At 41.1% G+C, this 23,012-nt stretch overlaps 1 protein-coding gene and 1 pseudogene across 1 annotated transcript in view; both read right to left on the bottom strand.

Annotated features, from left to right (window-relative positions):
- Positions 1 to 284: 284 nt before the first annotated feature.
- Positions 285 to 23,012, bottom strand: part of POLD3 (DNA polymerase delta 3, accessory subunit) — a 76,760-nt gene continuing 54,032 nt past the window's right edge. Inside the window, exon 12 of the mRNA XM_005273716.1 lies at positions 285 to 849. Within this exon, the coding sequence (XP_005273773.1) occupies positions 770 to 849 (80 nt within the window). The 3' untranslated portion in view covers positions 285 to 769. The remainder of the gene's footprint in view (positions 850 to 23,012) is intronic.
- RANP3 (RAN pseudogene 3) lies at positions 16,515 to 17,064 on the bottom strand (annotated as a pseudogene).

Here is a 23,012-nt window from a genome sequence, read left to right as displayed (position 1 = left end):
AGGGCCTGATGGAAGTTCCAAGCCGCAGGGGCGAAGGGCCCAGGTCTCTGGCCATGTGGACGGCCTCAGTTGGCCCTGTACTCCCTGGGTCCCATCCCGCCAGGACAGGGCCTGCTGGTGGTGATTTCAGATTCAATTGGTGAAGACAGGCCTCCTGGGATGAGCCAGTTGGCCCCTCTCTGTTATTTGCTTCTCAGAGTTGGAAAAACTACGCCGTGCACCTGGCAGTACTTGCGGCTGCTGGTTTTTCTTTTTTTTAAAGAAACAGAAAGTAACCCCTGTGCTTACTGCAACCAAATCCATTTTATTGGCCTCCTGCATCTCCCACTGCAATTATAATAATCCCTTACATTTGATGAGTCTTTTGAGTGGTTTACAAAGCACTTTCTTGTGCATTCTCCCTTTTGATCCATGCAATAATTTTGGGAGGGAGAGAGGGCTGGCATTATTGTCCCTGGTTACAGGGGAGGAAACTGAGGCACTGATAGTAAGGTCAGCTGCCCAACGTCACACAGCAAGATGGTGCTAAAGCAGAGACCCTGGGTCCTCTGACTGAAGTCTTGTCCCTGCACCACACACCCATCTTATCATTTGAATACCCAGGCTCTCAGAAACCCTCTTCTAAAAAATAGGGCAGAAGGCTCAGCTCTTTTTCTTTCTAAACTTTTTCTCTTGGTGAACTTAACCATCACGTCACTTGAAACTACCACCTCTAAGTCAGTGACTCCTAAATCTGTGCTTCCGAGGCTTGAGATCTTCAGATCCTACCCTACCTCTCCAACCGCTGGATGGGCATTTCCACGTAATGCTCCAAAATGTCTAGTGAGTGGGACTGCATGTCCAGCACCACTGTAAAAAAAACACAACAGAAAGGAAAACTCTATATATCTTCCCTTTTCTCCCATTATACCCCCTAACCCCATTCTCCCTCCTAGCTACTCCGGGCCTCTTTAATGTTCCCACCCACCCCTTACTCACCCAGCTTAAGAAAGCTCAGTAGTACCTTAGCCTTATTTTTCCTTCACCTTCTAAATCCAGTTGGCCCTGTACTGGGTATTTTACTTAATACATTTATTCATCCAGCAAATACTGATTGTATGCTATACCTTTCCAGTCTATTCTGGGTCCCCTTGCTACGTGATATGTAGGCTTTTGTGTCTGGCTTCTTTCAGTTAGCATAATGTTTCAAGGTTCATCCATGTAATGGTATATATCAATATTTCATTCCTTTTAGGGCTGGACAGTATTCCACTCTAATGATATATCATATTGCATTTATCCATTCATCACCTTATAGACATATGGCTTGTTTCCATTTTTTTGGCTATCAGAACGATGCTGCTATGAACATTTATGTACAAGATTTTGTATGAATGTATGTTTTACTGCTTTTGGGTACATATATAGCAATGAAATTTCTGGGTCATAGGGTAACTCTATTTAACATTTTGAGGAACTGCCAAAGTGTCCCAAAGTGCCTGCACCATTTTATATTCCCACCAGCTGTGGATGAAGGTTCCAAATTTATCCACATCCACATTAACACTTGCTATTGTCTCTTTTTGTTTACAGCAATTCTAGTGGGTGTAAAGTTATTTCTCATTGAGATTTTGATTTACATTTCCCTAATGACTAATGTTTTCCCTAATGACTAACGACGTTGATGTTTTGATGTTTGTTGGTCATTTGTATATATTCTTTGAAGAAATGTCTTTTCAGACCCTTTGCCAATTTTTCAGTTGGGTTGTCCTTTCGCTATTGAGTTTTAAATGTTCTTTATAGATTCTGGATATAATTCTCTTGTCAGAAAAATGATTTGCAAATATTTTCGCCCTTTCTGTGGGTTGTCTTTTCGTTTTTTGAGAGTGTCCTTTGAAGTCCAATTTATCTTTTGTTGCTTATGCTTTGGTGTTGTGTCTAAGAAAGGTTTTCCAAACCCAAGGTCACAAAGATTTACCCCTGCTTTCTTCTAAGAGTTTTATAGTCTTAGCTTTTACATTCAGGACTATGGTCCATTTTTAGCTAAATTTTTAAATTTTATTTAAAATTTTTAAATTGCAGTAAAATATTCATGACATAAAATTTACCTTTTTTTTGAGACGGAGTCTCACTCTGTCGCCCAGGTTGGAGTGCAGTGGCGCGATCTCGGCTCACTGCAAGCTCCGCCCCCCGGGTTCACACCATTCTGCCTCAGCCTCCAGCTGGGACTACAGGCGCCTGCCACCATGCCTGGCTAATTTTTTTTTGTATTTTTAGTAGAGACGGGGTTTCACTGTGTTAGCCAGGATGGTCTCGATCTCCTGACCTTGTGATCTGCCCGCCTCGGCCTCCCAAAGTGCTGGGATTACAGGCGTGAGCCACCACGCCGGGCCCTTAATTGTTAAGTATACAGTTCAGTAGTGTTAAGAACATTTGCATTGTTGTGTAACCAATCTCTAGAACTTTTAATCTTGCAAAACTGAAACTCTATGCCTACTGGACAACTGGACAACTCTCCATTCCTCCCTCACCTAGCCCATTAATTTCTATGCATGGTATAAGAAAGGGGCCTAACTTTATTCCTGTGCATGTGGATATCCAGTTGTCCCAGTATCATTTGTTGGAAAGACTATTCTTTCCCCCATTGATGCTCCAGGTGTCCCATTGATTTTTTTTTTTTTTTTTTTAGCAACTTTAAACATCAATTGCTCATACATGTAAGTTTTAATTCTGGACTATCAATTGTTTCACTGATCTAGATACCTATTGTTATGCTATAACCAGCCTGTCTTGATTACTGTGGTTTTGTAGTAAGTTTTGAAATCAAGAAGGATTTCTCCACTTTTGTTCTTCTTTTTCAAGATTGTCTTGACTGTTCTTGGTCCCTTGCATTTGCATATGAGTTTTAGGGTCAGCTTGTCAATTTCTGGGGAAAAAAAAATCCAGCTGGGATTTTGATAAGAGATTGCACTAAATCTGTAGATCAATTTAGGGAGTATTGCCATCTTAAGAATACTACTAAGTCTTTTGATTCATGAGCACATGAAGTGTTTCCATTTATTTAGGTCCTCTTTCTCTCTCTCTCTCTCTCTCCACTTCCTGGGTTCAGGTGATTCTCCGGCCTCAGCCTCCCAAGTACCTGGGATTACAGGCGCCCGCCACCACACACAGCTAATTTTTGTATTTTTAGTAGAGACAGGGTTTCACCATGTTGGCCAGGCTGGTCTCGAACTCCTGACCTCAGGTGATCCACCTGCCTCGGCCTCCCAAAGTGCTGGGATTACAGGCGTGAGCCACTGCGTCTGGCCTTCAAATGGCTTTTTAAAAGATGAGAAGATATTTCCTGACAAACAAGATGGGAAAGGCATCCCAGGAAGCTGGGATTAGAGGTGTGAACCACTGCACCCTTTAAACAATGCTTTGTAGATTTCAGAATTTATATAAGCTTTGCACTTCGTTGTATGTATTCCTGAGTACTTTTAAACTTTTTGATACCATTGTAAATGCAATTGTTTTCTAATTTCATTTTCAGATTATTTCTAGCTTGTAGAAATATAATTGATGTTTGTACATTGGGCTTGTATCCTAAAGCCTTGTTGAACTTAACATATTGGGTTTAATAGGTTTTTTAGTGGATTCCTTAGGATTTTCTATATAGAAGATCATGTCATCTGAATACAGAAATAGTTGTACTTCTTCCTTTCTAAAATGAATCCGTTTTGTTCTTTTTCCTGCCTAATTGCCTGGCTAGAGCCTCCAGTACAATGTTGAATATAAGCGGTGAGAGCAGACTTCCTTGTCTTATTTTTGATCCTAAGGGTAAGTTTTCAGTCTTTCACCATTAAGTATGATGTTAGCTGTGGGTTTTTGTTGATACCCTTTATGAGGTAGAGGAAGTTTCCTTCTATTTCTAGTTTTGTTTAGTGTTTTTTAAAAATTATGAAAGGGGCCAGGCATGGTGGCTCATGCCTGTAATCCCAGTGCTTTGAGAGGCCAAGGTAGGCGGATCACCTGAGGTCAAGAATTTGAGACCAGCCTGGCCAGCATGGCAAAACCCCCTCCACTAAAAAATACAAAAATTAGCCGGGTGTGGTAGCGCATGCCTGTAATTGCAGCTACTCTGGAGGCTGAGGCAAGAGACTTGCTTGAACCTGGGAGGTGGAGGTTGCAGTGAGTCGACATCGTGCCACTGTACTCCATCCAGCCTGGGTGACAGAGCAAGACTCTGTCTCAAAAAAAAAAAAAAAAAAAAAAATTATAAAAGGGTGCTAGATTTTGTCAAATGCTCCTTCTGGCTCTATTAATTTCATTTTTTTTTTTTTTGAGACAGAGTCTTGCTCTGTTGCCTAGGCTGGGGTGCAGTGGCACAATCTTGGCTCACTGCAACCTCCGCTTCCTGGGTTCAAGTGATTTTCATTTTCATGCCTCATCCTGCCAGGCAGCTGGGACTACAGGCATGCAGCCCCATGCCAAGCTAATTTTTATTTTTATTTATTTATTTTTATTTTATTATTTATTTATTTATTTTATTTTTATTTTTATTTTTTGAGATGGAGTCTCACTCTGTTGACCAGGCTGGAGTGCAGTGGTGCGGTCTCAGCTCACTGCAACCTCTGTCTCCTGGGATCAAGCAATTCTCCTGCCTCAGCCTCCCAAATAGCTGGGATTACAGGCATGTGCTACCATGTCTGGCTAAGTTTTGTATTTTTAGTAGAGACAGAGTTTCAGCATGTTGGCCAGGCTGGTCTCGAACTCCTGACCTCAAGGGATCTGCCCACCTAGGCCTCTCAAAGTGTTGGGATTACAGGCGTGAGCCACCACACCCAGCTCTTTCTGACTCTACTGAGATGATTGTGTGGTTTTTGTCCTTTATTCTATTGATAAGGTTTATTATATTAATTGATTTTTCAGATATTAAACCAACCTTAAATTCCTAGGATAAATCCCTCTTGCTTATGGTGCAAAATCCTTTTTATATGTCACTGGATTCATCTTCGTAATTTTTTTTTGAGGATTTCTGCATCCATATTCATTAGGAATATTAGTCTGTAGTTTTCTTATGATGTCTTTGTCTGGTTTTGGTGTCAGAGTAATACTGACCTCATAGAGTAAGTTGGGAAATGTTCTCTCCTCTTCTAATTTTTGGAAGAGTTTGTGAAGAATTTGGTATTAAATCTTCTCTAAGTGTTTGGTAGAATTTATACTTTTTATTGCTGAGCTGTACTCCATTATATGAATATACCACAATTTATTCATCCATTCACCTGTTGATAGATATTTGGGTTGTTTCCAGTTTTAGAATAAAGCTGCTATGAACATTAGTGTACAAATCTTTGTATGGATGTATGTTTTCATTTTCTTGGGTAAATATTTACAGTATAATTGCTGGGTCATTTGGTAGATGCATGGTAACTTTATGAGAAAGTTCCAGACCAATTTTCAAAGTGGTTGTGTCACTCCTACCAGCAACGTATGAGACTTTTGCTTACATTCTACAATCTTACCACTTAAGCTGTTGCCACCGTTTGATTTTAGCCATTCTAATGGGCATGTAGTGATATCTCAATGTCATTTTCATTTACATTTTGCTGAATAATAATATTAAAACACATTTTCATGTGCTTATTGGCCATTGGTATATCTTCCTTTATTCAGTGCCGGTTCTTATTTTTTGCCCATTTTTTAAAAATTAGATTTTAATTGGGTCTTCTTAATATTGAGCTGTATAAGTTTTTTATATACACTGGATAAAAGTCTTTTGTCAAATATATAGACATAGAGAGATAGAGATATATGCATGGTGATAACTAACTCACATTCTATGGTTTTCCTACTTATTTCTTAATGGTGTCTTTTGCTTAGCAGAAGGTTTAAATTTTGATGAATTCCATTTTATTGATGTTTCTTTTATGGTTATTGCTTTCTGGGTCCTAAAAAAGTTTGACTATCCAAAGATGATGAAAATGTTCTTCTATATATTTTCTTCTAAAAACATTTTAATAGCCAGTTGTTCCAGCATCGTTTGTTGAACAGACTTTTCTTTCCACATTGAATTGCTTTTCCTCCTTGGATGAAAATCAACCACTATTTACAGACTAACTATTCTGTCCCATTGATCTATTTTTTCTATCTTTATGTCAACACCACACTGTCTTGACTACTGTGGCACTACTGTAAGTCTAGAAATCAAATGTAAGTTCTTCACCTCTGTCTTATTACAAGACTGCTTTATACTACATCTTTTCCATTTCCATGCAAATTTTAGAACTTCAACTTACCAATTTCTACAAAAAAGCCTACTAGAAATTTGATTGGCATTGCTTTGAACCTATTGATCCATTTGGAGAGAACTGACAAGTTAACAATATTGCGTTCTTCCAATCTACAAATGTGGTATATTACTCCATTAATTTAGTTTCTTTAATTTCCCTCATCAGAGACAGAGTAAGATAGCTGAATAGAAGCTTCCAGTGATCATCCTCCCCACAGGAACACCAAATTTTAACAACTATTTACATAAGAAAAGCACCTTTATAGGAACCAAAAATCAGGTAAGCAATCACAGTACCTGGTTTTAACTTCGAAATTATAGTCTTGAATCACCAATGCCACCCCTCCCTCATCCCCTTGCAGTGCCCTTGGTACAGAGAATCTGTGTGGTTGGGGGAGGGAGAGTGCAGCAACTGTGGGACTTTGAACTCAGCAAAACTGGGCTGAACTCAGCAGATGTGTGTCCATGGAAGGAGCACTTAGACCAGCCATAGCCAGAGAGGAATCGCCTATCCCAGCAGTCAGAACCTGAGTTTAGGGAAGCCTCAGCACTGTGGGCTAAAGTGTTCTGGGGTCCTAAGTAAACTTGAAAGGCAGTCTGTGCCACAAGGACTGCAACTCCTAGGCAAGTCTTAGTGTTGTGCTGGGCTTGGAGCTTGTGGACCTGGGGGGCATGTGACCTAGTGAGACACCAGCTGGGTTGGCTAATGGAGTGCTTGTGCCACTCCTCCTCCAACTCCAAGCAGCACAGTTCTCAGCAATGAAAGTGACTGCTTCCTTCTGCTTGAGGAGAGGGAAGGGTAAAAAGAATTTTGATTTGCATTTTGGATACCAGCTCAGGCACGACAGGATAGGGCAGTGGGAAGAGTTTTGAGGCCCCCGTTCCAGGCCCTAGCTCCCAGATATTTCTAGACACACCCTGGTCCAGAAGAAAACCTATTCCCTTGAAGAGAAGGGGCCAGGTCAGGCAGGATTCATCACCTGCTGATTAAAGAGCCCTTGGGCTCTGAATAATGAGCAGCAATAACCAGGTAGTACGCCATGGGCCTTGGTGAGACTCTGAGACATGCTGGCTTCAGGTGAGACCCAGCACATTCCCAGCTGTGATGGCCATGGTGAGAGACTCCCGCTTGAGAAAAGAAGAGGGAAAAGTAAAGGGGACTTTGTCTTACACTTAAGTAACCAGCTTGCCCACAGTGGGGTACAGTACCAAACGGGCTCTTGGGATCCACAATTCCAGGCCTTGGCTCTTGGAAGGTATTTCTGGACCTGCCCTGGGCCAGAGAGGAGCCCACTGCTCTGAAGGGCGAGTCCCAGGCCTGGCAGCATTCACCATAAGCTGACAGAAGAGCCCTTGGGCTGTAAGTGAACATCAGTGAGACTGGCAGTACTCCCCATGGGCCTGTGGTGGTGGTGGCCATTGGGAGAGGCTCCTCGGCCTGTGGAAAGGGAAGGGAAGAGTAGAAAGGACTTTGTCTCGTAGCATGAGTTCAGCTTAACCACAGTAGAATAGAGCACAAGGTAGATTTATAAGGTTTTTTACTCCAGTCCCTGGCTCCCAGACAGCATCTCTGGACCCACCTGGGGCCTAAGAGAACTTGCTGCCCTGAAGAAAAGGACACAAACCTGGCTGGCTTCACTACCTGCTGATTGTGGAACTCTAGGGCCTTGAGTGAACATAGGTGAAAGCTAGGTAGAGGCTAACGGGGTCTTGGGTAAGACCCAGCACTGTGCTGGCTTCAGGCCTAACCCAGCCCAGTCCTAGTGGGTGGCCACAGGGGTGTTTGTGTCACCCCACTCCAGCTCCAGGCGGCTCAGCACAGAGAGTGAAAGACTGGGAGAAAGTAAGGGAAGAGAACAAGAGTCTCCACCTGGTAATCCAGAGAGTTCTTCCAGGTCTTATCTAAGACCACCGAAGACTCTACGAGTCTAAATCATAGTGTTACTGGGCTTGGGGTTCCCCCTAATGCAGTACAGCTCAGATTACAACATTCAAGATTCAACACTGAAGTCCCTTCGAATACCTGAAAAGCCTTCCCAAAGACAGGTACAAACAAGGCCAGACTGTGATGACTACAATGAATACTTAACTCTTCAATGCCTAGACACTGACAAACATCCACAAGCATCAAGACATCCAGGAAAACATGACATTATCAAATGAACTAAATAAAGTGCCAGGGACCAATCCTGGAGAAACAGAGACATATAACCTTTCAGACAGAAAATTCAAAGCTGTTTTGAGGAAAGTCAAAGAAATTCAAGATAACACAGAGAAGGAATACATAATTCTATCAGATAAATTTAACAAAGGGATTGAAATATTGAAAAGAATCAAGCAGAAATTCTGGAGTTGAAAAATGCAATTGGCATACTGAAGAATGCATCAGAATCCCTTAATAGTAGAATTGACCAAGCAGAAGAAAGAATTAGTGAGCTTGAAGACAGGCTACTTGAAAAAAACACAGTCAGAGGAGATGTATTAGCCTGTTTTTACATTGCTATAAAGAACTACCTGAGACTATGTAATTTATAAAGAAAAAGGTTTCATTGACTCAGTTCAACAGCCTGTACAGAAAGCATGGCTGGGGAGGCCTCAGGAAACTTACAATCATGGCGGAAGGTGAAGAGGAAGCCGGCACACCTTACCTGGCCAGAGAAGGAGGAAGAGTGCACAGGGGGAGGTGCTACCCACTTTTAAACAACCAGATCTCATGAGAACTCACTCACTATCATGACAACAGCAAGGTGGAAATCCACCACCATGATACAATCATCTCCTACCAGGCCCCTCCTCCAACACTGGGGAGTACAATTCAACATGAGATTTGGGCAGGGACACAAATCCAAACCATATCAGGAGACAAAAGAAAAAATAATAATAAAGAATGAGGCATGCCTACAAGATCTAGACAACAGGCTCAAAAGGGCAAATCTAAGAGTTATTGACCTTAAAGAGGAGGTAGAGAAAGAGATAGTATAATAGTAGAAAGTTTATTCAAACGGATAATAACAGAGAACTTCCAAAACCTAGAGAAAGATATCAATACTGATACGGTTTGGCTATATCCCCACCCAAATCTCAACTTGAATTGTATCTCCCAGAATTCCCACCTGTTGTGAGAGGGACCCAGGAGGAGATAATTTAATCATGGGGGCCAGTCTTTCCTGTGCTATTCTCATGATAGTGAGTAAGTCTCACGAGATCTGATGGGTTTATCAGGGGTTTCTGGTTTTGCTTCCTCCTCATTTTTCTCTTGCTGCTGCCATGTAAGAAGTGCCTTTTGCCTCCTACCATGATTCTGAGGCCTCCCCAACCATGTGGAACTGTAAGTCCAATTAAACCTCTTTTTCTTCCCAGTCTCGGGTATGTCTTTGTCAGCAGTGTGAAAATGGACTAATATAGTAAATTGGTACCAGTAGAGTGGGGCATTGCTGAAAAGATACCCAAAACTGTGGAAGTGAGTTTGGAACTCGGTAACGGCAGAGGTTAGAACAGTTTGGAGGGCTCAGAAGAAGACAGAAAAATGTGGAAAAGTTTGGAACTTCCCAAGACTTGTTGAATGGCTTTGATGAAAATGCTGATAGTGATATGAACAATAAGGTTCAGGCTGAGGTAGTCTCAGATGGAGATAAGGAACTTGTTGGGAACTGGAGCAAAGGTGACTCTTGTTATGTTTTGGCAAAGAGACTGGTGGCATTTTGCCTGTGCCCTAGAGATCTGTGGAGCTTTGAACTTGAGAGAGATTATTTAGGGTATCTGGCAGAAGAAATTTCTAAGCAGCAAAGCATTCAAGAGGGGACTTGGGTGCTGTTAAAAGCATTCAGTTTTAAAAGCGAAACAGCATAAAACTTTGGAAAATTTGCAGCCTGACAATGTGATAGAAAAGGAAAACTCATCTACTGGGGAGAAATTCAAGCTGGCTGCAGAAATTTGCAAAAGTAGTAAGGAGTCTAGCATTAATCCCCAAGACCATGGGGAAAATGTCTCTAGGTCATGTCAGAGACCTTTACGGCAGCCCCTCCCATCACAGGCCCAGAGGCCCAGGAGGAAAAAGTGGTTTCATAGGTCAGGCCCAGGGTCCCCGTGCTGTGTGCAGCCTATTGACTTGGTGCCCTGTGTCCCAGCTGCTCTAGCTGTGGCTGAAAGGGGCCAATGTACAGCTCAGGCTGTGGCTTCAGAGGGTGGACGCCCCAAGCCTTGGCAGCTTCCATGTGGTGTTGAGCCTGCGGGTGCACAGGAGTCAAGAACTGGGGTTTGGGAACCTCTGCCTAGATTTCAGAAGATGTATGGAAATGCCTGGATGCCCAGACAAAAGTTTGCTGCAGGAGTGGGGCCCTCATGGAAAACCTCTGCTAGGGCAGTACAGAAGGGAAGTGTGAGGTTGGAGCCCCCACATAGGATCCCTACTGGGGCACTGCCTAGTGGAGCTGTGAGAAGAGGACTACCATCCTCTAGACCCCAGAATGGTAGATCCACTGGCAGCTTGCACCGTGCACCTGGAAAAGCCACAGACACTCAATGCCAGCCCATGAAAGCAGCCAGGAGAGAGGCTGTACCCTGCAAAGCCACAGGGGTGGAGCTGCCCAAGACCATGGGAACCCACCTTTTGCATCAGGGTGAGCTGGATGTGAGACCTGGAGTCAAAGGAGATCATTTTGTAGCTTTAAAATTTGACTGCCCTGCTGGATTTCGGACTTGCAAGAACCCTGTAACCCCTTTGTTTTTGTGAATTTCTCCCATTTGGAATGGCTGTATTTACCCAATACCTGTATCCCCACTGTATCTAGGAAGTAACTAGCTTGCTTTTGATTTTATAGGCTCATAGGTGGAAGGGACTTGGCTTGTCTCAGATGAGACTTTGGACTGTGAACTTTTAGGTGAATGCTGAGATGAGTTAAGACTTTGGGGGACTGTTGGGAAGGCATGATTGGTTCTGAAATGTGAGAACATGAGATTTGGAGGGGCCAGGAGCAGAATGATACTGTTTGGCTGTGTCCCCACCCAAATCTCAACTTGAATTTTATCTCCCAGAATTCCCACATATTGTGGGAGGGACCCCGGGGGAGGTAATTGAATCATGGGGGCCAGTCTTTCCTGTGCTATTTTTGTGATAATAAGTCTCACAAGATCTGATGTGTTTATCAGGGGTTTCTGCTTTTGCTTCCTCATTTTTCTCTTGCTGCTGCCATGTAAGAAGTGCCTTTCACCTCCTGCCATGATTCTGAGGCCTTCTCAGCCATGTGGAACTCTAAGTCCAATTAAACCTCTTTTTGTTCCCAGTTTCAGGTATGTCTTTATCAGCAGCATGAAAATGAACTAATAAAAATACCCAAGTACAAGATGATAGAACACCAAATAGATTTAACTTGACTACCTTGAGGCATCTAATAAACCTTACAAGCCAGGAGAGGGTGGCATGACATATTTAAAGTCCCAAGGGAAAAAAACTTTTACCCTAGAATAGTATATCTGGTGAAAACATCCTTCAAACATGAAGGAGAAATAAAGACTTTCAAAGCTGAAGGATTTCATCAACACCAGACCTGTCTTACAAGAAATGCTAAAGGAAGTTCTTCAATCTGAAAGAAAAGGATGTTAATGAGCAATAAAAAATCATCTGAAGATACAAAACTCACTGGTAATAGTAAGTACACAGAAAAACAGACTATTATAACACTGTAACTGTGGTGTATAATCTACTCTTAAGCAGAAAGACTAAAAGATGAACCAATCAAAAATAATAACTACAACAACTTTTCAAGACATACAGTACAATAAGGTATAAATAAAAACAAAAAGTTAACAAGTGGGGAGACAAAAAGTGTAGTTATTAGTTTTCTTTTTGTTTGTTTATGCAATCAGTGTTAAGTTGTCACCAGTTTAAAATAATGAGTCATAAGATAGTATTTGCAAGCCTCATAATAACCTCAAATCAAAAAACATACAACAGATATACAAAAAATAAAAAGCAAGAAATTAAGTCATAACACCAGAGAAGATTACCTTCACTAAAAGGAAGACAGGAAGGAAAGGAAAAGAAAACCAGAAAACAACAAAATGGCAGAAGTAAATCCTTACTTATCAATAATAACATTGAATGTAAACAGACTAAGTTCTCCAATCAAAAGACACAGAGTGGCTGAATGGATTAAAAAAAAAAGACACAATAATCTATTGCCTATAAGAAACATATTTCATCTATAAAGACGCACAAAGACTGAAAATAAAGGGATGGAAAAAATATTCCATGCGAATGGAAATTTAAAAAAGAGGAGTAGCTATACTTATACCAGACAAAATAGACTGCAAGACAAAAATTGTAAGAGACAAGGAAGGTCATTATATAATGGTAAAGGCATCAATCCATCAAGAGGATATAACAATTGTAAATATATATGCCCCCAATCTACTTTCAGCACTGGCCAGATTTCCTACACAGAAAATCAACAAAGAAACATCAGACTTAACCTGAACTACATTATAAATTGACCTAGTAGTTATTTAGAGAACATTTCATCCAATGGCTCCAGAATACATATTCTTCTCCTCAGCACATGGATCATTTTCAAGGATAGACCATATGTTGGGTCACAAAACAAATCTTATAACCTTAAAAAAAAAAAAAAAACCCTGAAATATTATCAAATGTCTTCTTTGACCACAATGGAATAAAACTAGAAATCATTAACAAGAGGAATTTTGGAAACTATACAAACACATGGAAATTAAACTACATGCTCCTGAATGACCAGTGGGTCAATGAAGAAATGAAGAATTTTTTTTTTTGAGACGGAGTCTCATTCTGTCGTCCAGGCTGGAGTGCAATGGTGTGATCTTGGCTCACTGCAACCTCCGCCTCCCGGGTTCAAGCGATTCTCCTGACTCAGCCTCCTGAGTAGCTGGGATTACAGGTGCGTGCCACCATGCCTGGCTAATTTTTGCATTTTTAGTAGAGACGGGCTTTCACCATTTTGGTCAGGCTGGTCTCAAACTTCTGATCTCGTGATCCACCTGCCTCAGCCTCCCAAAGTGGCGGGATTACAGGCATGAGCCACTGAGCCCGGCCAAAAAATTTCTTGAAACAAATGATAATGGAAACACAACATATAAAACCTATGGGATACAGCAAAAGCAGTACTAAGAGGGAATTTTATAGCTATAAGCACCTACATTAAAAAAGAAGAAAAACTTCAAATAACCTAGTTTTTGTCATCACTGTTTTAGTTTTTAGTGTAGAGATGTTGAACATATTTCATTAAATTTATCCCTAAATATTTTATGTTCTTGACACTATTATAAATGGCATTTTAAATGTTATTTTTATTTTACAATTACTAATTGCTGATATACAAAAGATTGAATCTTGTATATTGGCCTCGTATCCTGTCACGTTACTAAATTCACATATTAGCCCTAGATTTTTGTTTTGTAGATTACTTGCTTGTTCTTTGAAAATACAGTTTTATGCCTTCCTTTCAATCTGTATGACTTTTACTTTTCTCATCTTATTGCATTTGCTGAAACCTCCAGTCACATAATAATATTGCATGAACAGATACCAGACATCCCTGCCTTGTTCCCAAACTTAGAACGTTTCAATATTTCATCACAAAGTATGATATATGGTATTTAGTGTTTTGTAGATTCCATTTAGCAGGTTGAGGATGTTTTCTTCTATTCCTACTTTTTGAAAAGTGTTCTTTTTTTTTTTTTTGGTCAAATATAGGTGTTGAATTTTGTAAAAATCCCCATGGTTTGTCTTCTATGCATGCTTGAAAAGAACAGGCATTCTGCAGTTACTGAGTGTTGTGTTCCGTAAATATCAATTAGGTCAAGTTGATTGATAAAGTTTTTCAAGTCTTGCATATCATTTTATTTCCCCCCATTATGTGTTACATGTTCCTGTTTCTCTGAATATTTCATAGTATTGGTTGAAAACTGGATATTTTAGATAATATAGTCTAGCAATTATGAAATCTGACATTTCCCCTCTAGGGGTTGTTTTTGCTTTTGTTAGTAACTTGCCTAGACTAAATCTATAGAGTCTGTGGTGCGGGACCATTGATCTCTCTCGTTTGTTTCATTTCCGTTCTTAAATTCTTGTCTTTATTTTTAAGCCTTGCTGCAAGGGCTTACGCCCATGTCAGTGTTGCTTAGTGGTCAGCTAATGATTGATCAGAGGTTGTGCTCAAATACCTTGAGCCAGTAAGACTTCTACTTTCCACAATGTCACACATCTACATGTGGGTTGGGAAATGCATAAAAATTCAGGCAGTTCACAAGTCTGCCTCGGCATTTCCTTTCTGTTGGGCACTCTCACATTTCCTCTACCTGTGTGCATGGCCTCAAGTTCTACCAGGTGTATGTGGATAGCCAAGGCACTCTTTGGTCTCTCCTGCACATGTGCTTTGCTAGGGATATGTGGCAGCTTATCGAAGCTCACTATGGCTCTCATTCCCATTATCTCCCTGGTCCCTTGCTTGCTCCAACCAGGACCTCAACTTCAGGCTAGCTGAATTGTTGTCTTGCTTTTTGTTAGTTCGTCACTGAGACTGCTATTTTTTCTTTCAATACCCCGGGCATGCAGTTTTTCAAATTCTGCTTCAAATCAAGTGAGCTCCTTCCCACAGCAAAGCTGCAGGTTTTCGTGATTTGTCTTTCCTTGTAGCACAATTACTATGGTGACCAAGCTGGTGGGGAGCAGAGGAGAGAAGGTGGGTTGGAAGCAGCCCCAGGTTAAAACACCACAGACTCCCACTATTTTTACTTGAGGGTCAGTAGTTTTTCACGAATAAATGCTTCTCAATTTGTTGTAAGCCTTTAATCAATTTTGTTTTTGACAATTTCTTTTTAAAGAGGATTTTCTGAGCTTCTTACTCTGTCATTCCAGAAGTCCTGCTCATCATTCTATATTCCCCTAAATTACAGATTTATCTACTTGTTTTTAGTTCTGTTTTATTTAATGTTATTGTGTGCACGTTTACGAGTATTATATCTTCTTGATTAACTCTCTTATTATGTCTCTTTACATCTGGTAATACTCCTTGTTCTGAAGTCTACTTCATGTGATATTAATATAGCCACTCCAGGTTTCTTATGATTTGTGTACGCATGGTCTTTTTCTGTCCTACTACTTTTAACCTATCTGCATCTTTATGTTTAACATGCTTTCCTGTAAACAGCATGATATAGTTTGGATGTTGTCCCCTCAAAGCCTCATGTTGAAATGTGATCCCTCATCTTGGAAGTCAGGGCTGAGGGGAGGTGTTTGAGTCATCTGGGGGGATCACTCATGGTTTGGTGTTGTCCTCCCAATAGTAAGTCCTCATGAGATCTGGTTGAGCAAAAGTGTGTGGCATCTCCCCTCCCCTTCTTTCTCTTGCTCCTGCTCTGGCCATGTGACATGCCTGTTCCTGCTTTACCTTCTGCCATGAGTAAAAGCTCCCTGAGGCCTCCCCAGAAGCTAAGCTGATGCTGGCACCATGCTTGTACAGCCTGCAGAACCATGAGACAATTAAACCTCTTTCCTTGTAAATTACCCAGTCTTAGGTATTTCTTTACAGCAACGCAAGAACAGACTAGCACACAGCATATTTGTATCCATTTGTAAAAAAAAAATCTAGCCTGGTAATTTCTGCCTTTTAATTGAAGTGTTCATTCCATTTACATTTAATGTTGATATGGTTAAGTCTAATGTCTTTTTATTGCTTTCTATTTGTCCCATCTATTCTTTGTCCTTTTTTTCCTTCTTTTCTAACATTCATTGGTAATTTTAGTATTCCATTTCATCTGCATTATTGGCTTATTAACTATACTTTGGAGTTATACATTGTGGTTTTCAGTGGTTGCTCTCAGGTTTACAATACGCATATTTAACTTAAAACAGTTAAGTTGTTTAAAAAGTTATTAATTTAAAAATAATATACCACCTCAAGTATAACATAAGAAGAAGAGTATACTATACTTCCATACTCCCTCCTCATCCTTTGTGCTAGTTTTGTCAAGTATTTTATTTCTACTTATGTTATGGACCACACTATGTGTGTGTGTATCTCTCTTAGGTATTTGAAATACAACTTTATTCTGTTTCTAAATGAAAAGGAATGGGAATGGCAGTAAAATAAGATCCTCACCACTGAATATTATGATGTTAAGTATTAGGTTGGTGCAAAAGTTACTGTGGTTTTTGCAATACTTTGGCAAAAACTGCCATTACTTTTGTACCAACCTAATATATATGAAACTCCAGAAGGAAACAACAAAAACAGCTAAATATGCAGGTCCAAAAATTGAAGGTATTTTTGAAGTCCATTCATCTCCTTCAGCATCCCAAAGATAAAGCACATGTTCTGCTTAGCTACACAATAAAATGGCAAACATGCTACACCACTGACAGCACAGCACAGATGCTTATAAAACTATACTTCTGATGCTGGGCTCCAGATTAATTTTCTTACAGATCATCATTCTCATCCGGGAGAACATTTGAACAACCTGTAAATCATGATATATTGTGCTGCCAAAGCTGGGTCCATGACAACCTCTTGTGGGGCAAGGGCAAGCATGGCAACAAACTCCAAGTTAGGATCTCCAATTAGTTTTGTAGCAAGCCAGAGGAAGGGCTTTTCCAAGTTGGAGTTACTTTTAGCAGAATGTCACAATGCTGAGGATTCTTCCTTTAGTAGAATACAATAGAGTTTGCCTTCACTTTCCTATCTTTAATGTCTATGTTGTGTGCCTCTTCACAGTGAACAATGCCTTCGGGAGTTTTCTGCCTCCTTTGGGCACTATCTCTATAGCTTCATCTTCTTCCTCAATTCAAATTGCCAAAGCCTGGTTGAGTTTCCCATCTCTAAGTGAACAAAATATGTATGATTAGAAAGTAAGCTCTATTCAGTTTTGCTTAAATTAGAGTTGGTCTCTATTACTTGAAGCACTGAGAAAGTCACTGTCATATACTGATGATGATACGCAACCTTTGGGAAGACAAGTTGGCAATATGTATGAAAAGTTTCTTAAAATGTATATCCTTTGACACAGTAATTCTATTCCTAACAATCTATCCTAACAATAATCTAAAATGGGCATCAAAGATATGGTTGTAGTTACCCAAAATGCAAGCATAATGCTCTGGAGGGATTTGTTGCTAACAGACTTGCTTAAAAGTTGCTTTCGAGACATTCAATTTGCAGATGAGAGCTGTTATTACAAGGCATTTAGGTCTAAAATTTGGCCATCTAGAGTATGTGAAGGGAAAGAAAACCCTCTCAACTTTGTAATGTGATATAGTATTGAGAAAAGTAGACTAAAATTTTAGAGATCAAGTTCTACCACTGACTTGCCTAGTGGTCTTGGTAAGTTACCTATCATCCCTGGGGCCTATTTCCTCAGCTACAAAATGGAGGTACTATCTGCTCTATCTACCTCTGACAGCCATGTAAGGCTGAGTCCAGCTTTCCCCTCTGTATGTACTAGTAAAGCCTTTGTAATGACAGGAATTGTTTTCAATGACTTCCCTTTGTCTTTAGATATGACAGAATCCTTACCATAGCCGACAAGGTTCTGAACCATCTGGCCCAGCCTCCCTCTCTAGCCTGATCTTGGCATGACCTCCCTGTTGGTCACCAGGCTACAGCCACATGCCCACCCTGGACTTTCACAAATGCTCTTCCCTCTCCCTGAAATACTGTACCATCTTTGCCTGGTCAACTACTTATCTGTAAAGTCTGACTTAAATGTCACTTTCACCAAGAAATCTCTGACAACCCCCAACATGGCCCTCCTGTGTGGTTTTTCTCCTAGTGCCCTGTACAGATCCTTTTATAAGGCTTATCACAATGGTCATTACATAATTGTTCATGCAATTATTTATTTGGTTGTCTCTCTCTTTCAAAACTCCTTGAGAGCACGTTCTGTTTCTGCCTTGTTCATGACTGTGTAGTTTTAGGGCTTGGCAGTACCCTCTATGGAGACACAAGGTAATTTGTTAAATGAATGAATTCTTAAACTCTTACAGCATCAGGGATAGAGAACTAATGCTTTCAACCAAGTTGATAAAACTGAAGCCCAGAGAAGAGAATGACTTTCCCAGGATCACATGGCCAGTGAGTAGAAGAGGCAGTTTTATAATTCATTAATTCATTCAATAAATATTTTCTAAGAGCCTACTATGTTCTAGGCACTGTCCTAGGTACTGGAGATAGAATGATAGACAGTCCGTGACTTCCTAGAACTTATATTGTGGTGGAGGAGATAGCCAATAAGCAGATAAACAGATACACAATTAGCAGAGATAGTGATAAGTGCCATGAAGAGGTGCTCTGTAGACAGAAAGCACATAACCACCAAGCACTCAAACCCGTGCTTTCTGCGTCCAAGTGCAGGGCTCTTTCCACTACACCACACTGTCTGCCCGAAGTAAACAAACAAAACCATAATTTATGAGGCTCCCTCAGCTGCCTGTGTGTGCACTTGGTGGGGTGAAACCCTCATGCTGTCCATGAAGAAGAGCCAACATCATCAGAAGCGGCAGCTGACTGGCTTGCCTACTAAAGCAGGTGTCATGGCACTAGCCAGCCCAGCCTCTGCTGCCTTGAAACTTCACATCTGGCACCCAAAGAGAGAGAGTGTGTGTGTTTAAATAAGACAGCTATTGAATGAGTGGACTGAGGAGGGTTGGAGTTGGCTGGTCTTAAGGAATGATGCAAACCACAAGGGGACAGTGCTCAGGAGGTGAACAGAGAAAACAGATGGGCTCAAACTGCAGGCGTGACTATAGCCCAAGCACCCCATACATCATTGGGAGAGGCTTCTTTGCTGCCAAAGATCTGTTTATTTTTTCATTAATAAACAGCATTCTCTGATGTCTGTACTTGAGGAAATAGAATGCATACTCAGACCTTTGGCTTTCCTCTAAACGACTTCAAGTAGAAATATGGTTGAAACAAGGGTGTGTTGTGTAGCACACAGAATGACACGCAGCCCACCTGAAAGGTAGGGGTGCTGGTGGGACAAAGGGGAGTCAGGAATTTGACAGGTGAGCAGAACTGCAAGGAAACACTGGGTCCATTAGCCCTCCCTCCTCACTTTGTTAGAACCTCAGTTTTGACAGTCTGATGTGCTGTCTACAGCACAAAGTAGGCACTCCAATAAAGGTTAGTTGGCAAAAAAATTAGCAAAGTACGACAACTCATTTTTCTCACACAGGTAAGATTAAAGTCCAAAGCATTACTCTGAAACAATAAAAACCCAACCACTATAAACTGGGCACTTTATATTTGTTATCTCTAATCCTCACAATAACCTTGAGGTAGATACAAGCTTCATCTTACAGATGAGCAGACTGAGGCTCAGAGAAATTTGGTGACTTTCTGGGAGTCACGCTGATAGTAAAAGGGCATGAACTCCAGTTTGCCTGACTCTAAAGTCCAAGGACTTTCTACAACATCAAAAAGTGAGCCAGTCTGCTCTCCAACTGCAGCCAGAGTACTTTCCAAAATGTAAGTATCTCTCTCTCTCTCTCAAATAAATAAAGATGGGGTTTCACCATGTTGGCCAGGCTGGTCTCGAACTCCTGGCCTCAAGTGATCTACCTGCCTCGGTCTCCCAAAGTGCTGGGATTACAGGCATGAACCACCGCACGTGGCCAAAAAGCAACTGTCTCTTGCTGCTTTGCTGCTTCTAAAGTGTACAGGCTGGGAAGACATATAACATGTATTATGAACTATGCACAATTCTAAGATAGAGTGGGGGGTTTCATGCAGGAGCTTCAGGATAGCTGTTGCTGTATTTTAGGGGTGAGCTTTGGAGTTCACAGCAAAACTTACTGCTAGAAAAGAATTAAATCATTGGTACATTTCTAAGTATAATGGTCATTCAATGTCTAATATGAATGTCACTTATGATATGCAAGAATGTTTACAACACTCCACGCCACTGGAAAAAACTTACACTAAGAATGGATGACAATAGGATACTCTGTCTGCCTCTCAAATCCCAGCTCTACCATGTACTAGCTGGACAGCCTTTCTACCATTGAATTTCCTAATTCATCAAATTGGGCTGATACCTACACCTCACAAAGTTGTTACGGATCAAATGATATAAAGTATATGAAAGCATCTGGCATAGAATAGGTGTTAGTAAGATTTGGGATGAATTTAGTTGATCAGTCTAGGACTATGGGTCATTTTTGACCCAAAGAATTCCAGGGAGATGCAGTCAGTTCCAGGTCTGAATCAGTGTGTGTATGTGCGTCAGAGAATGGCCTACATGAATCCTTGGTGAAACCGTGGAACCAATCCCATCTCCATGGTTTAACTAGGACCATGGCTCAGGCAAGAGCCAGAGAATTTCCAAGCATGAGACGACCTAGCAAAAGGCTAATCATTCCACATTTGAAGTCACTCCTAATACTCTCCTCTCCTGAGTTTCCAAGGGGATCAAAGGAGTCATCTGCCTAAAACAAAACTAGATCTAACTTCAAATTATTTTCCTCTGCTTGTTCTAACTCAAGATACAGGTTCAATTTGGCTGTTACTTATGATCTACTTTATACCTTTAGGCTACTAAAGCTGATCTTTCTAATGTACGAATCTGACATGTTAAAATTCAGTGGCTTCCTATTGCCTATAGTGCAAGGTCTAAACTACTTAGCAAAGACCTCTGTGAGCTGGCCTCTGCCTACTTATATGGCCTCATAGCCAACCATTCTGCCTCTCACTAAACCACTTACAACTCTCTAAACAGTCTGTGCTTTCTTGTGTGTCCATGCCTTTGTATGTCCTGTTCCTTCTGCCTGGTATGCCCTTCTCGCTTTCCATCTGGCAAACTCCTATTTTTCTCAAGACCTGTTTAAGCACTTCCTCCTCTGTGAATCTTCCCTTAATCCCTCAGGCAGTCACAGGCAACCCTTTCTTGGGACCACACTGACCTATGGACACACACCTCCTTTACACAGGAGGAGGAAGGACATGGTACAGTAGTCAGAATATAGACTTCAAGTCAGAAAGACTAGAGTTCAAATGTGGCCCTCTCCCCAGGCCAGCTAGAACACCAACCAGAGGGGAGAAAGCCTTCATCTCTAGCCTAACATATAGTCCACTGGTGTGGTTTCCTTAAGTGGAGATACAAGCTGCAGATCGTAGCCAAAAAGACTCAGACTTACTGGCAAGATCACACCTACCTGAGAATGACAATTGTAAAGGTATAATTCATTTTGCTCCTTTTGATCCACCCAAAGGGAAGTTGACTTCCATGCAGGTTTGCTAATCACAAGCGTTCAAATATACTAGTTTCTCTAACTTTTCATTATAAATTATTAAACAGAGACATGTCTCACCTTTGCCACTTATTGGGCAAATCATTTAAACTCTCCGAGCCTTCCTGTCTTCATGTGTAAATAAAGTGTTGTGAGGATTAGAGAAAGTGTATTAAATATCTAGCAAAAATTTGAGCCCGTGGTAAGCACTCTTATAAATATTATTATAATATAATTATAGCATATTTGTCTGTCTCTCTCCTCACTAGATAGTAAATGTATCAAGGGCAAGAAATTCATCTTTGTATCCCCAGTATTTAATGCACCAGTGCTGGGTACACAGTAAACTTTTAGTCAAAAATCTGTGAAATGTACAAATATGTACATGTTTTTTTGCCTTCCCAACAGATGGTCAGTTCCAGGAAGGCAGAGAACTTGTCATGTACTTTTCTGGAATCCACAGTAGCCACCATAGTTGTTGGGCAAATAAGCAAGCATTTAATGACTCAAGCCACATTTGTAAGTGCACCAATATATTCTTCTTAGGGGTTGCTATACTGTGGGAAAGTCACATGATGCAGCATCTGAAGACACAAAGTCTCAAGACCTAGGTTCTAGCCCTGGTACACTTTCTCACTGTGAGATGCTGGCCATACTAGCTCAACTCCCTGGGCTTCTTTTCTGCAAAATGTGGGAGAGACCTTGCAGGTTATCATGAGGATGAAGTAAGATAAAGTAAAGCATATAAATACATATAGAACACAACTAAGAGGGACAAGGGAAAACACTCCTATCAGGTTTTATGGTTTGCAGGAAAATGGTTCTGCCTTCCGTAAATCCCATTCCAGGATAGAACTTTAAAAAGTACTATACCAGGGGTCCCCAACCCCCGGGCTGCGGACTGGTTCTGGTCTGTGGCCTGCTAGAAACCTAGCTGCACAGCAGGAGGTGAGCAGCAGGCGGGCAAAGAGCATTACTGCCTGAGCTCCGCCTCCTGTCAGATCAACTGCAGCATTAGATGCTCACAGGAGCACAAACCCTATTGTCAACTGCACATGCAAGGATCTAGGTTGTGTACTCCTTATGCGAATCTAACTAATGCCTGATGATCTGAGGTGGAACAGTTTCACCCCGAAACCATCTCCCCTATCTGGCCATGGAAAAATTGTCTTCCATGAAACCGGTCCCTGGTGCCAAAAAGGTTGGGGACCACTGCACTGTACCGTCATTATGCTATGTTTATGTAATCTTCACATACCTTATAAGCTTGAAACCAAGTATCCTAGGAAAACAAGGCTCTGACATTCAAAGTGGAGAACACCACCCTGGCCTAACCCACTTGCAAGCACCCCAGGACCACTTTTCAACCTATGAACCTGTAGCATAGCTTAAACAGGGCACAAATGCCAAATGTCCTCTTGATTTTCTTATAAATGTTAAGTCAGAGGCAAGGCCAAGAATCAGACAAGCTTTTTCAAGGAAAACAATGTTCTCGACTTA

The sequence above is a fragment of the Homo sapiens genome, chromosome 11 (assembly GCF_000001405.40).
Source record: "Homo sapiens chromosome 11, GRCh38.p14 Primary Assembly".
NCBI lineage: Eukaryota > Metazoa > Chordata > Mammalia > Primates > Hominidae > Homo > Homo sapiens.
This window is presented reverse-complemented; position numbering and strand designations above follow the sequence as displayed.